Source organism: Homo sapiens, chromosome 3, assembly GCF_000001405.40.
Source record: "Homo sapiens chromosome 3, GRCh38.p14 Primary Assembly".
Taxonomy (NCBI): Eukaryota; Metazoa; Chordata; class Mammalia; order Primates; family Hominidae; genus Homo; species Homo sapiens.
The window spans coordinates 13891794-13908128 of record NC_000003.12 but is presented as its reverse complement, the minus strand read 5'-3'; the positions used below and the strand labels follow the sequence as shown (position 1 = coordinate 13908128).

Genomic DNA, 16335 nt, shown 5'->3' with positions numbered 1-16335 from the left:
CTGTGTGGCGCGTGCCTGTAGTCCCAGCTACACGGGAGGCTGAGGCAGGAGAATGGCGTGAACCCGGGAGGCGGAGCTTGCAGTGAGTCGAGATCGCGCCACTGCACTCCAGCCTGGGCGACAGAGCGAAACTCCGTCTCAAAAAAAAAAAAAAAAAAAAAAAAAAAAAAAAAAAAAATTCAGCTGTGAAGCCATCTGGCCCTGGGCTTTTCTTTGTTGGGAAGTTTTTCGTTGCTAATTTAATCTTGTTTGTTACTGGTCTGTTCAGGATATCTATTTGTTCTTGATTTGGTTTTGGTAGGTTGCATGTTTCCAGGAATTTATCCATTCCTTCTAGGTTATCCAATTAGTTAGTATATAATTCTTCATAATAGTCAATTATAATATTTTTATTTCTGAGGCATCTGTTGGAATATCTCATTTCTGATTTTTAATAGGATTGTTTGTAACACAGAGATAAATGCTTGAGGTGAGTGATACTACATTCACCCTGGTGTGATTATTATGTATTGCACGCCTGTATCAAAATATCTCATGTACCCTATATAAACTGTAACTATTATGGATACATAGTATATATATAAAAAAACTAAAACTAAAAATATGTTACAAGATGAGTTAGTGCAGTGTATTCAAAATAATTAATCATAGTACACAGGGTATCTCAAGATTTATGTGCCAGGACTGAGGACAAATCACAAAGTCTAACTATAATTCAAAATACTTAATATATGAGAAACCAGGAAAATGTGATCAATTCTTTTTCTTCAAGTTCAAAGGGACATGTTCCAGATGTGCAGGTTTGTTACATAGGTAAATGTGTGCCATGGTGGTTTGCTGCACAGATCATTCCATCACCTAGGTATTAAGCCCAGCATCCGTTAGCTATTTTTCCTGATGCTCTCCTTCCCCCTGTCCCCACGACAGTCCCCACGTGTCCCCAGTGTGTGTTGTTCCCCACACCCCATGTGTCCATGTATTCTCATAATTCAGCTTCCACTTGTAAGTGAGAACAAGCAACATTTGGTTTTCTATTCCTGTGTTAGTTTGCTGAGGATAATGGCTTCCAATTTCATCTATGTCCTGATCCTTTTCATGGCTGCATAGTGTTCCATGGTGTATATGTATCATATTTTCTTTATCCAGTCTATTGTTGATGGGCATTTATGTTGATTTCATGTCTTTGCTATTGTGAATAGTTCCGTAATGAACATACACGTGCATGTATCTTTACAATTAAGTGATTTATATTCCTTTGGGGAAAAACCTAATAATAGGGTTGCTAAGTCAAATGGTATTTCCGCCTCTAGATCTTTGAAGAATCCCCACAGTTGAACTAATTTACACTCCTACTAACAGTGTAAAGGCATTCCTTTTTCTCTGCAACCTCGCAACATCTGTTGTTTTTTGGCTTTTTAGTAATAGCCATTCTGACTAGCATGAGATGGTATCTCATTGTGGTTTTTATGTGCATTTCCCTAACGATCAGTGATGTTCAGCTTCTTTTTCATATGCTTGTTGGCCATGTGTATGTCTTCTTTTGATAAGTGTCTCTTCATGTCTTTGCCCACTTTTTAATGGGGTTTTTTCTTTCTTATAAATTTAAGTTCCTTGTAGACTCTGGATATTAGAACTTTGTCAGATGGATAGATTGCAAAAATTTTCTCCCATTCTGTAGGTTGTCTATTCACTCTGATGATTGTTTCTTCAGCTGTGCAGAAGTTCTTTGGTTTAATTAGATCCCATTTGTCGATTTTTGCTTTTGCTGCTATTGCTTTTGGCATTTTCATCATGAAATCTTTGTCTGTGCCTATGTCCTGAATGGTATTGCCTAGATTTTCTTCTAGGGTTTTTATACTTTTGTGTTTTACATCAAGTCTTTAATCCACCTTGAGTTAATTTCTGCATATGGTGTAAGGAAGGGTTCCAGTTTCAACTTTCCGCATTTGGAAAGCCAGTTCTCCCAGCATCACTTATAAAATAAAAAATCTTCCCCCATTGCTTGTTTTTGTCAGGTTTGTTGAGGATCAAATCACTGTAGGTGTGTGGTCTTATTTCTGAGTTCTCTATTCTGTTCCATTGGTCTATGTGTCTGCTCTTGTACCAGTACCATGCTGTTTTAGTTACTGTAGCCTTGTAGTATAATCTGAAGTCAGGTAGCGTGATACCTCCAGCTTTGTTCTTTTTGCTTAGGATGATTTGGCTTTTCAAGCTCTCTTTTAGTTCCATACAAATTTTAGAATAGTTTTTTGTAATTCTGTGAAGAGTGTCAATGGTAGTTTAATGGGAATAGCATTGATTCCACAAATTACTTTGGGCAGTATGGCCATTTTCACTGTATTGATTCTTCCTATCCATGACCATGGAATGTTTTTCCATTTGTTTGTGTCCTCTCTGATTTCCTTGAGCAGCCGTTTGTAGTTCTCCTTGAAGAGGTCCTTCACTTCCCTTGTTAGCTGTATTCCTGGATATTTTTTTCTTTCTGTAGCAATTGTGAATGGGAGTTCATTCATAATTTGGCTCTCTGCTTGCTTGTTATTGGTGTATAGAAATGCTAGCAATTTTTACACATTGATTTTATATCCTGAGACTTTGCTGAAGTTGCTTATCAGCTTAGAAGCTTTTGGGCCAAGACAATGGAGTTTTCTAGATATAGGATCATGTCATCTGTAAACAAAGACAATATGACTTCCTCTCTTCCTACTAGAATACTCTTGATTTCTTTATCTTGCAGGCTCATAGCTGTGGCCAGGACTTCTAAATCTCTCTAAAGGAGAGAAACATAACTGGCTATTCTGGTTGTCGCACCTGTATTGTCTTATCATGATTCCTAGCTTCTTTGCATTGGGTTATAACATGCTCCTTTAGCTCTGTGAAGTTCATTATTACCCACCTTCTAAAGTCTACTTCTGTCAATTCAGCCATCTCAGCCTCAGCCCAGTTCTGTGCCCTTGCTGGATAGGTGTTGTGGTCATTTGGAGGAGAAGACACACTGACTTTTTGAGTTTTCAGTGTTTTTGTGTTGATTTTTTCTCATCTTTGTGGGGTTATCTACCTTCAATCTTTGAGGTTTCTGACTTTTGTGAGATCTTTGTGGATGTTGTTATTTTCTGTTTGTTTTAACAGGCCACTCTTCAGTAAAGCTGTTGTGGTTTGCTGGGGTTCCACTCCAGACCCTAGTTGCCTCGGTTTTTCCCATACCTGGAGGTATCACAAGTGATGCCTGCAAAACAGCAAAGAGGGAAGCCTGCTCCTTCCTCCAGAAACTCCAACTCCGGGGCCACTCACTTGTTGCCAGCCTGAATGTGGCTGCAGGAGGTGGTTGAAGACCCCTGCTAGGAGGTCTCACCCAGTGGGAAAGAACAGGATCAGGGACCTACCTAAAGAAGCAGTCTGACTGCCCTTTGGTAGAGCAGGTAAGCTGAGTTGGGGAGGACCATTCCTCATCTGGACCATTTGTATTCTCCAAAGCCAGCAGGCTGGAACAGCTGAGTCTACCAAACTGCAGAGATGGTAGCCACCCCTCCCCCTGGAGCTTTGTGGGACAAAGCTCTCCCTGGGGGTAGAGATCAGAGCTCTGTCTATAGAACACTTGCTGGAGTGGCTGAAGCCCCTGCAGGGAGGTCTCACCCAGTGAGAAGAAATGGTTCAGGGTCCTGCTTAAAAAAGCAGTCTGGCCAAGATCTGGCAAGGCAGCTGTGCTGTCCTGTGGGGATCCCCCCCTTGTTCAGACCACCTGTATTTTTCAAAGCTGGCAGGCTGAAACAACTGAGTCTACCAAACCACAGAGATGGCAGCCACCCCTACCCCTGGGAACTTGGTCCAGACTCAGGCAGACTCCAGCCTACTGCTGCCGGCTGGCTGGAATTCCAAGCCATTGGGTCTCAACCTGTGAGATGCCATGGAAATGGGGCCTGCAGAATGATGCCACTTGGCTCCCCAGACTCAGCCCCCTTCCTAGGGACATGCACAGATGAATCTTCTGCCTTGCCACAGATCCTGGGGCTGGAGTATGCAAAACTCCTGGGTGTCTGTGTGTGCCTGAGTGGCCACTCTGCCAAGACTCCACACAGGCCATGTATCGAGCCCAAGACCCTGGTATTGTGGCTCATGAGGGGATCTCCTGATCCACAGCTTGCAGAGATCCATGGGATGAGTGTAATTTCTGGGGAAGGGTCACGCATTGACTCACCACTTCCCTTGGCTGGGGGTGGGGGTTCCCTTGGCTTGGTGCTGCTCCCAAGTGGGTCATCACCCCACCCCACTTCTTTTCATTCTCTGTGGGTCAAGCTATTTGCTTAGTCAGTCCCAATATGAGAACCCGAATATCTCAATTGAAGGTGCTGAATTCACTTGCTCCTTTCATTCCTCTCTGTGAGTGCCACAGACTGCAGCTACTTCCAATCAGCCATCCTGGCCCCTCAACAACCAAATGTGATCAATTCTTAGTATACCATCCATACACATGCTGAAATACCAAAAAAGATTTCTGAAAAGAAAGCAAAATATTACAGAAATAAGTGCAATTACTATTTCAGCACAAGATTTTTGGTAGAGAGGAAAAGATTAGATTTTGTTAATTTGGGCTCAAATCCAATGCATTTTTCCCTCTACCTAATGAAATATTACTGAATTATCATATGGCTTAGAGACTCCATTGTAGGGTTCACTTATACCCCCACATTTCAACACCTCTGAATCATGATGCATCTTATAATCAATGAAATACCATAGTCTAGGAGGTTTTTTAAGTCTTAGTGGTACACAAAATAATGGCATATCTCACAGTTCATTACAAGTTTGATTTGATAAAATATGGTACATGACCCTCATAAATAGGTTTCCCTTCTAACTTGTTGGTTTAAAAAATAAAAGTAAGGTACTACGAGAGTAGGGACTCTGAATCATACCCTATCATATTCCTATTCCTTTCCAGTGTATTTGAATTTTTATTCTGCTACCTGAATTAATTTAAATTATGCAAAAAATTATAAACACTATACTGAAGAATCTTAAAGCTTATAAGTTTTTCTTTTTGGTATCTGATAATATCAATTTATTAGAATATGTTTACATGAATTCCAAATTTTCCAAATTAATAGAATAATTCAGTATGTACTCAGGATGAATTTAGTGATTTACAAAGTTTCTTTTCCAGGTGATTTTCCCAAACTGGCTTTTCACCTGTATGAGTTCTCACATGTTGTTTATCCACGTGCATGAGTCTTTACATGCCAAGTAATTAATGAACTCTTATACATTCTGATGAATGTAATAAATTGATAATGTTTTCTCCAGTGTAAATTATTTGCTCTCTAAATGAGGTCTTTATAGCTAAAGGCTCTGTGACATAATCATGAGGTTTCTCTTCAATGTGCATTCTCTGTGGTTAATGAGGTATCTAAATAATTTAATACATTGACTATATTAATGAGATTTAGGAGTATTAGGAGTTTTTACATTAGTAAAAGAGAAGTTATTTTGAAAAGTATTTCCACACTAATTACAGTTTATACTGTATTCTCTCCAGTATGAATTCTCCAATACTAATGAAGGATGATTTATAGTTAAAGAACTGCCCACATTGCTAGCATTCAAAGGACTTCTTACTATTGTTGTACAGAAACTGAGCTACAGGTACAAGGTTTCTCACATTTACTACATTCACGGGGTTTGTAGTGGGTTGAATAGTGTCCACCTCCCCCTCAAAATTCACATCCACCCAGAATCTTGGAATGTAACTTTATTTGGAATGGGGTCTTTTCAGATGTAATTATTGAAGATAAAGTCATACTGAAATTAGGATATGCCCTAAATATGATGACTGGTTTCCTTACAAGAAGAGTAGAAGAGACAGAGACACACACAGAGAAGAAAGCCATGTGAGGATGGAGACTGGAGTGATATAGCTACACATCAAGCAATGCCAAAAATTACTGGCAACCAGCAGAATCTAGGAGAAGGGCATAGAACAGTTTCTTCTTGAGAGCCTCCAGAAGGAACAAACTTCCCAAATCCCTTTATTTCTGACTTCTGGCCTCTTAAGCTGTGAGAGAATAAACTCCTGTTGTTTTAAGCCACCCAATTTGTGCTTATCTGTTTTGGCAGCTATAGGAATCTAATTTCCCCTCCTGTGTGATTCTTCTGATATACAATAAAGTATTATCCACTGAAGAAAGCTTTGCCATATTTGTTATATTGATTAGGATTATCATTTCTACAAATTTTGGGTGGCTAAAGAATTTTAACCCCTGGTACTGTGGCTTTTTACTTTAATTAAAATCATAAAAATTCTCTCCAGTATGACTTCTCTATGCACAATGAAGTGGAATTTTCTAGTGAAGGCCTTCCTACATTTATTACACTTATAGGAACCTCTACACTATGAACCTCTTGATGTCTTATGAAGTTTGTTATAACTGAAAGTTGTCCCACATTATTATATTAAAAAAAGTTTTACACATGCATAGGTTGAACTAATAATTTCCCACATTTTTATGTTTATAATATTTCTTGCTAGCACAGTTTCTCTCAACTGTATCAAAATTACACTTCAAATGCCCTCAAATAACTATGAGATGCTGCTTTCCTTGGAGGAATTAGCTTTGAGCTCAGATAAAAACTGGCTTCCAATTTTACTATATTCATTTCCTTTCTCCACAGTCAATGCTTTATTGAAGATGAATGTACCTAGCTTCAAGTCTCCCTCCCCTCCTTTTGAAATAAATTTTACAAAGAGCTTTTCCTTGTGAATATTCTTTCAGTCAACTTAGGAATACCCTTGTTCAGAATTGTCCTATTGTATGTTTCATGTCTCACCTTCTAGAACTATTGAGAGCTCAATTGCAAATGACCTCTTCCCTAGCTGAAAAAGTACTCATTGTAAGACAACTGGTGCAGAAATAAACAATTCAGGGAAGATAACATTTGAGTAATTTCAAACATGATCTTGCATTATGCAGAAAGCCAATAAAATAATCAGAAGGAAGATGAAAAGATGAAAGAGAAAGTATATAGAACAGAGAGTAAGCACAAAGAGGACTGGACAGGAAACGGAGTTACTAGAAATAGCAGCTAGAGTGATGTCAGAAGGGAATGGCAGAATAAGGACCTCCAAAACTCCCCTACTCCATAAAAGCAATGGGAACACAGGCAATAATTATTGAAATCAAGTCTTTCAGAACTCTAGAAATTAACCAAAATCTTATAATAATCCAGAGAGCATTTATTCAAGAAAATGGCTGAATATTGGTAAGGACAGCATTTCTTTTGGCATATAAATTGCTCTATTCTTACTCACTTTATCCCAACTGCACAGCACCTTTGAAAATCAAAAATCAGTAATCATAGTTAAAATCTGCAACCTAGCAGCTACTGGAGAGGAAGAACAGGTTGAAACATCCAACACCCCAATCCTAGACAACTGTCCTTATTTAATCTGGAGCTTCCTAAGAAAGCGCCACTCAAAGGTCTTCTCTTTATTTTACCTCACTCAGATTTCCTGCAGTGTGAAAGGCCTTTTCTCCACAGGCATTCATCAAAAATCATCAATGGCAAGTGTTTAATACTGCAGCTGCCTGAGGTAGTGATAAGAGTGGATCAAATAACAAGCTAACCAAAAAAGCTTTTAAAAAGTAAAATCCAGGGAACAAAGTGTCCATGGGGGGCTTTAAGCATGCATAGGAATAGCATGCATACTCAGGACTATAAGTATGCTAGGAAAGACATGACAAGGCCCTAGGTTCTCACCTGAGGCTGTCCAGGAAGCTCTGCACGAGCCAGAAGTAAAATCTAAGACAGGGTCATGAACTGCCTCTCCAAGTGTTGAGAGCATGCCTAGACACACACACACACACACACACACACACACACACACACAGTGCCCCTCAGCAGTCCAAGAGTCTTAGTTCTATACTTTAAAAAAATATATCTCCAATTCATAGCTGATTTGCATGGTAGCAAAACAGAGAGTTCAGTGGCCACAAATGAGAACAATATACAGACTTTCCTGAATGAGCCTGATCCCATATCTCAGAGCCCACCAGTGTTAATACCCTGGGTGGGTATCCTTTCATCTCATTCTCTTTAGTCATAAAAAGTATCTATCTATGGTTGTTGCCTCCATTTCCTCAACTCCTATTCTCCCAGAATGCATCCAACTGGCTTCTGTTTCCTGCATCTGAAGGAAAGGACACTGGTTCCACTGAGAGCCTCAAGTAACATTCATGGTGCCAAAACTAATGGTTCCCTCTTAGTCACTCTCCTGCTCACTTTCTTAGTGGTCTTCAATGCAAGGTGGCCCCACCTTTCTTCTTGAAATCATCTCTTCTCAGATATCCATGTCATTACATTTACCTCGTTTTCCATCTACCTAACTGGATGTTCTTTTCTATCTCTGTCATAGACTTCTCCTCTGCTCCATCTCTAGATATTGATGTGCCCCAGGACTCACAGAAAGGCTCTCCATGCTTCTCTATCTGCACCCTCTTCCTGGCATTCAATATTGTCCACATGCCTATGCCTCCCAAATGTAGATCTACTTCCCTGTCTTCTCCTGTGGCTTGCAGACCTCTCCACATGAATATCTAATAGGCAATTCAAACTTAACAATGGAAAAATAGAACTCCTCCCACCAAAACAAAACAAAACAAAACAAAAAAAACACCAATAATACTTTTCCTGCTCCAAGTCTCTTTTCCTCTCTGTCAAGAATCCAGTGTTACAAACCCCCATGTTGCACATGCCAAAACTCAGGAATCAGATTTGGTTTCTTTTATCCTTTATCCCCCATGTATATCCATCAGTAAGCCCTGCCTACTCTACAGCCAAAATAATGTATATCCAAAATTCAACCACTTTTATTCTACTGCCTACTCATGCCATCATGTAATACAATATATAACCTATTGATAGGCATGACTATTGTGGCAAGATCTGCTTGATGCTCACAAATCTTCCCCACATAAGAATACTACATTTCCCAGTCTCCTTTGCAGTTACTTTAAGACAGTGTGACTGAGTCCTGGCTGTTGGAATATGCAACACTCAGTATATGCTACCTCTAGCTGAGCCCCTAAAATGTCCCACTCAATCTTCCTGCCACAGGTTAGAAGCAAGGGATGAGCATTACTTTGAGCCTAGACCCTGAGACACCTTCTGGAACAGCTGCCCAGAGTCACCTCCCGACCACATCACACTGTGTGTTGAGCAAGAGATAAACTTTTTTGTGTTAAGCAACTGAGATTTGGAAGCTTTTCTGGCACTGCAGCTAGCATGTATACTAATAGACATATAAACCACATGCAGACATTGATCCACTTAGAACAGCAGATACCTCTGTGAAGGCTGGATTTCAGCCTAATCTGCAATTATTTTTATTTTTCACAAGGATAAAGAATACGTGTAGTTCAGGTGCAGATAACAAATTTAAAAGACAATTCCTGCATTCCCCTCCTCTTGCAGCTGGAACACCCTGTCTGTATACCAACTGCTCTTCCCTCACTCACTCCCAGAGTTCCTTCATCTCCACGGCTTTGGTTCACAGCTAGGGCAGGAAGGCAATTATGAGACACAGTCAGTAAATCAGTCCACAGTTACTTACCAGCACCCAACAGTCAGGCCCTGGGCATGGTGCAAGCCAGGCACCAAGAGGTGAATAAATCATGCTGTCTGGCCTTGAGCAGCTCCACAGTCTGGCAATTTCTTCCCAGAGTGACCGCTCTTCACAAGAAACTGCTGTGTTAACAAGCTCACATGCTGAAGATGGACTTACCTGAGATCCAAGGTCATCCAGTCTCTAGATTTGTTTCTTCATCTTTGTCCAAAACTAGCAGAAGAAGCAGAACAGAAAAGATAATTGCGTCATGGCTAGGATAGAGGAGTGTACTCAGATGGAAGAAGAGGAGGGACATAAAAGGAGAAGTTATCAAATGAGATAGACTTGAAGACTTGCTTAAGTGGGGTCTTAACGACTGAGTGGGAGTTCACCAAGAGCACCTAGAGTAAGGGAAGGTACATGCAAGGGCACAGAGGGGTGAAATGATCTTTTGCTTTCAAAACACTGATGGCTTCAGTTTGGTAGAAACACAGGGTGTGGGAAGGGGAGAGGCAGTCAGGGTAGGCTCCTCTGTATGAACTTGGACTTGATCCACAGTGTTGTCACAACCCTGTGCAGACTTTGCCTTAGGGTGCCTGGTCAAATGGGCAAGTGGGACTGAAATCCGGTAAGGCTCAACTCACCAAGTCATGTACCCTGTCACGGGTTTGGATCCACCAGGAGAAAGGGGTGCCATTTCCACCATGCCCAAAGATGGCTGTGTGGTCTAACAGGAGCCCTGTTTATCCTGCCCCGGCATCACAGCTTTCAAAGCCTTTTTACACACAAGATCTCACTGTGTTCTCACAACTCCATGAAGAAGGCATTGTGAGTACCATTTTATAGATGAAGAAACTGAGGCTGAGATGTGAAAAGACAAAACCTACAGAAGACATTCCTAGAGAGGTCCCTTCAGGTTCCAGTGATTCCCCTTTGGCTAGAAGATCCTGGGAAAACCAACAAAGCTCTTGGCATTTGTCCTCTAGCAATCTTTTCGTCATGGAAAAACACAGGCTTGATGTATACAACTGACTCATAGTGTACACTACATTACACGGCCACAAATACAAATTTTAAAAAGTGAGGTGAAATACTAACTACTTCTATCGTTCTAAGATTTTTCCCCACCCCAACAGATTGTCTTTGTAGGAAACTCATCTATAAAGGATGCCAGCAGAGACCAGGTCACATCTGTTTTAATTTTGGATGAAATTCCATTTCGTGGCCTCTCCTCAGATGGGGAGGTGCCTGCAATCTCACACATTTCAAATAAATTTTGCTGAGAAACCAGGGCAGGTAATATCTGATTTTTACCTAATACTAGCTTGGGGAGAAAATGGGACTTTGGGGGAAATTTCCCCAAATTTTTGGTTTACAAAAATCATTCTTGGTTTAAAAAATCAGAGCCCAACCAAGAGAAGGGAATTTCCCCTACCTTGGCCAAGTTCCCTAAAGCATCCCGGCAACAACACTGTAGGAAGAGATTGTGAGTGAATTAGGAACCTTAATGAGCTTCTGAGTAAAACGGCCTGGCTTGCTCTCTGAGGAGTAGATGATGGTACCGAAACCCTTGGGGCAGTAAGTTTCATAATATTCCCCTTCCTTTTTATATCTAGAAAATTTATTCAATACATAAAATTCATTGAGAATTATACTAAAAAATATATGGGCTGTCTATAAAACAAATGCTAAGGGGCTTTCTAAAGGTTCCAATAACCAAGCCAGTTAACAGGTAGGGGAGTACTCCGCGGCCATTAGAGAAAGCCTTCAGTACAGTTCTGGCGCCATCTCGTGTCTAACATTGAGCTCAGCACTTAGAAAATACACAGCAGAGGAATGTACTGGGAAGAGTGAGTGGCCAGGTGTTCCTGAAAATTTACAGAAGGGATGGGGAGATGCAACTGGAAAAGTAGGCTAGGGCCCGCTCCTGACGGTCTTTATCTCACAGGCGCTGGCAACTAAGCCACATGATCAGATCTGTGTTTTAGAGCAATTCAGCAGTAAGCACACAGGCACGGTGGGTGACAACGGCTCAGATACCTAAGGGCTCAGTGCTTCATGCCCATGTTCACTGCCTGAAGTCTTGTGCCAAACCACTGGATCAGCAGCTCCTACTAGAATGTATGCAGGCATTACTGGTTGATTTGTTCACGTCTATATCCCCACTGCCTAGAACAGTGCCTGGTACCTAAATGTTTTTATTTTAAAATAAAAGGACATTTTTTCCATATATGACTACATGATAACACTGTCAAAATACAGAGCCCCCACCCCATCCAGCTGCACAGCAGCCTGAGAGGAAGGCATCGCTTTCCTCATCTTACAGATATAAACAGTGGGGCTCAGTGAGGTTGCCCTGGTAAGGGCAGAGGCGCAGCCCCCCGGGTAAAATTCCTTCACAGCCAGGCTGCAGGGACCTCCAGCCTGTTGCAGGTAAACGAGCTGGACTTCGGGATCCAGACCAGGCTTCCCCGGCGTCCGTTGCGTCACGCACTGACCCTTTCTAGACCTCAAGTGACAGCATCTACACAGGAGGCGCCAGGACCGTTCCCCAAAAGCAAAGTCTTTAAAGTGACATTCCCCAGAACCCCCACCCGCTCCCAGGTGAACTGGAGCCGAGGGACTTCAACGGAAGACACCACATCCGATCCTACCCGAATATACGAAAAGCGGACCCGAGCGGGGGGCCTAAGGCTCCGCACACTCGTCTTCGGCCGCCCTCCCCGCTCTCATTTTATAAAATGCCGACGCCGAGGCCGCCAGTGAAAAAGATTCTCGTCGGTGGTTACAACTCGGGTCAGGGGAATCCAGGAGCCCCAGTTTTCCGTTGGGACGGAAACGGCGGAATCCAAAAGTGACAGTATGACAGGATTTCCAGAGCCGACAGACCAGCCCTCAGCAATCCCCACCTCTTCAAGTCGGCCCGGCCCTCTCGGCCTCCGGCTTCTCACTCGCTCGGCTCCGCTCGGCTCCACCCGGCTCCGCTCGGCTCCACCCTGCCCCGCTCGGCCCCACTCATTTCCGCTTGGCACCACCCGACCCGCGCCTCGTCTCTGTTCGGCTTCACTCGGCTACTTTCGGCTGCGCCCCACTCCCTCGGCTCGTCCACTTGGCCCCATCCGCTCCGCTTGGCCCCGCCCTCTCGCTCTGCTCCGATCGGCCCGCGCGCTCGCCCTCTTTGGCAGGTGGAACAACGCGGGATGTCCTGTTCGCCCCGCCGGGCTCGGGTTGGGGGTCGTTTGTTCCATCTGGCTTAGCTCCCGTTTCGGCCCACAGCGGGTTGCGTCGGGTACAGGTCGGCTCCATCGGGCCTGCTTCCCTCCCCTTCTTCGGTCACCTACGAGGTCAGCTCGTGCACCTGTCTCCCCCTCACCTACCCGACAGCTCTAGGGCAGCTCGGTTCGAAACGACCCAGGAGGGGTCTTGCAAAGTCTTCCATCATCGTGGGCACCGCTCAGGCTGAGGAACGAACTGAGCTCCGGGGTATCTTGACTTGGCGACGCGTCTCGGGACCCCCACATCACACCTGGATGCCCTGGGGTAGCCCTCGCACATCTGAGTCTCCCCATCTGCAAAATGCAGCTGTTGCTAATTCTGCTCTCCCGGGCCCGGCGGGAGGATTAGGGGCCAGTGAGCACTTGTTGAGAGCCCTTTGTGTGTAAGGCGGAGTGTGGACGCAAGGGACACCCGAGTGAGCGGACAGCGAGGTCAGGACCCTGTGTATGGAGGCGCACACAGAGGATTAAACCAGCATGTTTGCAAAAACGCCTGGCCCTCTGCTTTTTCCGCTGGCTGTGTGGCGTTGAGCACGTGGTCTAGCCTCTGGAGCCGTTTCCCCTCCCTAAGATGGGCAGAGCTCCTTGGCAAGCAAGAACTGTCCGTGTGTGCCTTGCCCTCCAGCTCCAGACATCTCACAGAGGCAGCACAGGTATCTGTCTCCTGTCCCATCCTTCAGGAGGTTGGGTCGCAGGAAGGATGGCCTGTTACAATGACCCTCCGCATGACTTCAATTCATTCCACAAACTTCTGAGGGCCTGGAACTCAATGTTGGGGAGACAGGGCAACAGTTGGGTACTTAACTTGCAAGCTGCAGAAACTGACTTAGCCACTTTAAATAAAAACAATTTGTTGGAAGGATACCGGGAAGGTGGTGGAATACAGGAAGCCTGAAGACAAGGTTCAATAAAGCAAGAGTTGGGCTGTGCCAGGTAGTCTTGGTGCCAAAGACCTCTAAACAGTTACCCTTGGACACTGCTGCTATGTGAATGCACGCTAACCCTTTCTGCTGTCCCCGTTAAGTCTCCAGAGAGAGGGTCTGATTGGCTGGGTGTAGGTGTCAGGAACTTCTTCACGTTGAACTAGGTCCTGAAGGATGAGTAGAAATTTGCTAAAGGGAGAAGGAAAGAACATTCCAGGTAGAAGGACCAGCATGTACAGGGCATGTACATCACTGGAAAGAAATCTCGGGGCCATCTTGGACTTGTGCTTGCCACAGTGTGCCAGGTGCTTTCCTGGTCATGTCATTCAGTGCTCAAGAGAACCCCATAAAATTGATACGAATAATTTTTTGGAAAAAAGTATTATATTGTCTTTATTAAAATGATAAGTGCTTTTATAAACCATTCAAGCTATATAGCAAAATGTTGCCAAAATGGAGAGAGGAGGGCAATCATTACAAACCCTAGTTCCCCAAACCTAGAATTAATATTAGGCAACATCATTCCAGATGTTTGTCTAGGTATATATTTGGAAGGTGGAGTGGGAGTGGAAGAAAGGATGGGAGACGTAAGAGAGGGAGGATGGGTAACAGGAAGGAAAGAAGAGAGGCAGTGTGCAAGGAAGGAAGGAAAGGAATTTTATTAAAATGAGATTATACTGTATATGTCAATTTAAACAATAAAATACATGAAGCATATTTCCATATGAATTTAACCAAAGGAAAGGAAATTTGAGTGAAATAAAAGCAGTTGTTAACTTTACATATTCGATTTGTTAGCAAAATGAGTATTTTTTACAAGATCACTCCAGGTTTGTGGAGAACATTAAGAGATTAGGGGCCATCTCCCCGCTAAATTACATGTTTAAATCCTAGCATTTATTTTTCCCTGTTATGAAGAATGAGAAAATTAAGTCCTTCACACTTTCTATCATGCTCACACCTAACATACTGCCGTTGGGCTATTGATTCTATTTATTTATTTATTTATTTATTTATTATTTTTTGGAGACAGAGTCTTGCTGTCTCCCAGGCTGGAGTGCAGTGGCACAATCTCGACTCACTGCAACCTCCGCCTCCCAGGTTCAAGCGATTCTTCTGCCTTAGCCTCCCGAGTAGCTGGGATTATAGGAGCCCACCACAATGCCCAGCTAATTTTTGTATGTGTTTTCAGTAGAGATAGGGTTTCACCATGTTGGTCAGGCTGGTATTGAACTCGTGACCTCAAGTGATCCGCCTGCCTCACCCTTCCAAAGTGCTGGGATTACAGGCATAAGCCACTGCCGCACCCAGCAGTGCTATTGATTTTATAATGCCAAGGTCTGTAATATTCACAGACCTTGTAATATTCTGCCACCTCCCTTCCCTTGAATATTTAATCGTAGTTCTGGGTTGGTTTGTTAGCATTGCTCACCTCTAGTCATACATTGACTTTTCCCTTTCCTAGTTTCTTTTTTTTTTTTTTTTTTTTGAGACAGAGTCTGGGTCTGTCACCCAGGCCAGAGTGCCAGTGGCATGATCTCAGCTCACTGCAACCTCTGCCTCCTGGGTTCAAGCGATTCTCATGCCACAGCCTCTTGAGTAACTGGGATTACAGGCATGCACCACCACACCCGGTTAATTTTTTTTTTTTTGTAGAGATGGGGTTTCACCATGTTGGCCAGGCTGGTCTTGAACTCCTGGCCTCAAGTGATCTGCCCTCCTCGGCCTTCCAAAGTGTTGGGATTACAGGCAAGAGCCACTGTGTCCCTTTCTGAATTTCTTATTTAGATTTATCTCTTGATTGCCATAGACCCACCTTATGGATAGGAACATTAAGGCTTGTTCAAAGTCACATTGCCCATGGCAAATCAGTGCAGAGCCAAGATTCTGACAAATATTTGCCTCTCCAGAGGGAGAGCTCAGGAGACCCATGGCAGCTGTGAGATTTTGGACTTGGGTATTGGCATCTAGGGAAGGAGGGAGTCACTCTCTCTTCTTGAACTTTCTGGGGCTGCCAGAGGAGCCTGGACAGGACTCGGGGCTAACTCTGCCTCAAGGGGTCAGATTAAGGGTTGGACAGGTTTCCTGTAGTGCCTCTAACCCAGCCCTAGAGATCTAAAGAAGGAATTAGTGATTCAGGTGACTGGTTCTAGATTTTTTTGGACACGGAGGACTAAGAACAGAAAGTAGGACAATGAGGAGGCCCAATGCATCTGTTTTTCTTCCACTAGAAACAAAAATCCCCCAACCCAGAGGCCTAAACAATAATAGATTTTTCTGTCACTTAAAAAAAAAAAGCCCAGAGGCAGGCTGCGGGGCTGCTATGGCAGCTCAACCATGCCATCGTGTCCCTTCTTGTTTTCCATTTGGCCGTCCTTCTCAAGATGGCTGCCAGAGGAAGGGGAAACTCAAGGAACTGAAAGCCCAGGGGCTTCCACCTACATCTCTTTCAACAGAACAAAGTCATGGCTGCCCCTAGCTGCAAAGGATGCTGGGAGATGTAGTTTCTAAAGTCAGTCACAAGACAGAAAAAGTTTATCTT

General features: G+C 43.4%; 1 long non-coding RNA gene across 3 annotated transcripts, besides 3 other annotated features; it reads right to left on the bottom strand.

Annotated features, from left to right (window-relative positions):
* Nucleotides 1-186: 186 nt before the first annotated feature.
* On the bottom strand, nucleotides 187-12570 carry LOC105376957 (uncharacterized). Of its 3 annotated transcripts, none has more exons than XR_001740602.3 (3): nucleotides 12250-12545; nucleotides 9773-9826; nucleotides 187-4489 (listed from the first exon to the last, which is right to left on the bottom strand). It is a non-coding gene; the product is annotated as an uncharacterized LOC105376957 (long non-coding RNA). The 3 variants fall into 3 exon arrangements; XR_007095823.1 differs by having other exon boundaries at nucleotides 3006-4489; nucleotides 12505-12570; XR_007095822.1 differs by having other exon boundaries at nucleotides 3006-3223; nucleotides 4193-9826.
* Nucleotides 544-713: an enhancer, noted in NCBI's record as "experimental_64801 CRE fragment used in MPRA reporter constructs". NCBI's record gives its function as "activates a minimal promoter by MPRAs in K562 erythroleukemia cells, with activity observed for both the introgressed and non-introgressed 3:13948998 variant alleles {active_cell/tissue: K562}" and the evidence as "EXISTENCE:reporter gene assay evidence [ECO:0000049][PMID:34662402]".
* Nucleotides 3843-4137: a silencer, noted in NCBI's record as "tiled region #1925; K562 Repressive non-DNase unmatched - State 24:Quies". NCBI's record gives its function as "represses a minimal TATA promoter and a strong SV40 promoter by Sharpr-MPRA in K562 cells {active_cell/tissue: K562}" and the evidence as "EXISTENCE:reporter gene assay evidence [ECO:0000049][PMID:27701403]".
* Nucleotides 12295-12434: an enhancer, noted in NCBI's record as "active region_19494". NCBI's record gives its function as "activates an Ori minimal core promoter by ATAC-STARR-seq in GM12878 lymphoblastoid cells {active_cell/tissue: GM12878}" and the evidence as "EXISTENCE:reporter gene assay evidence [ECO:0000049][PMID:35858748]".
* Nucleotides 12571-16335: the final 3765 nt, after the last annotated feature.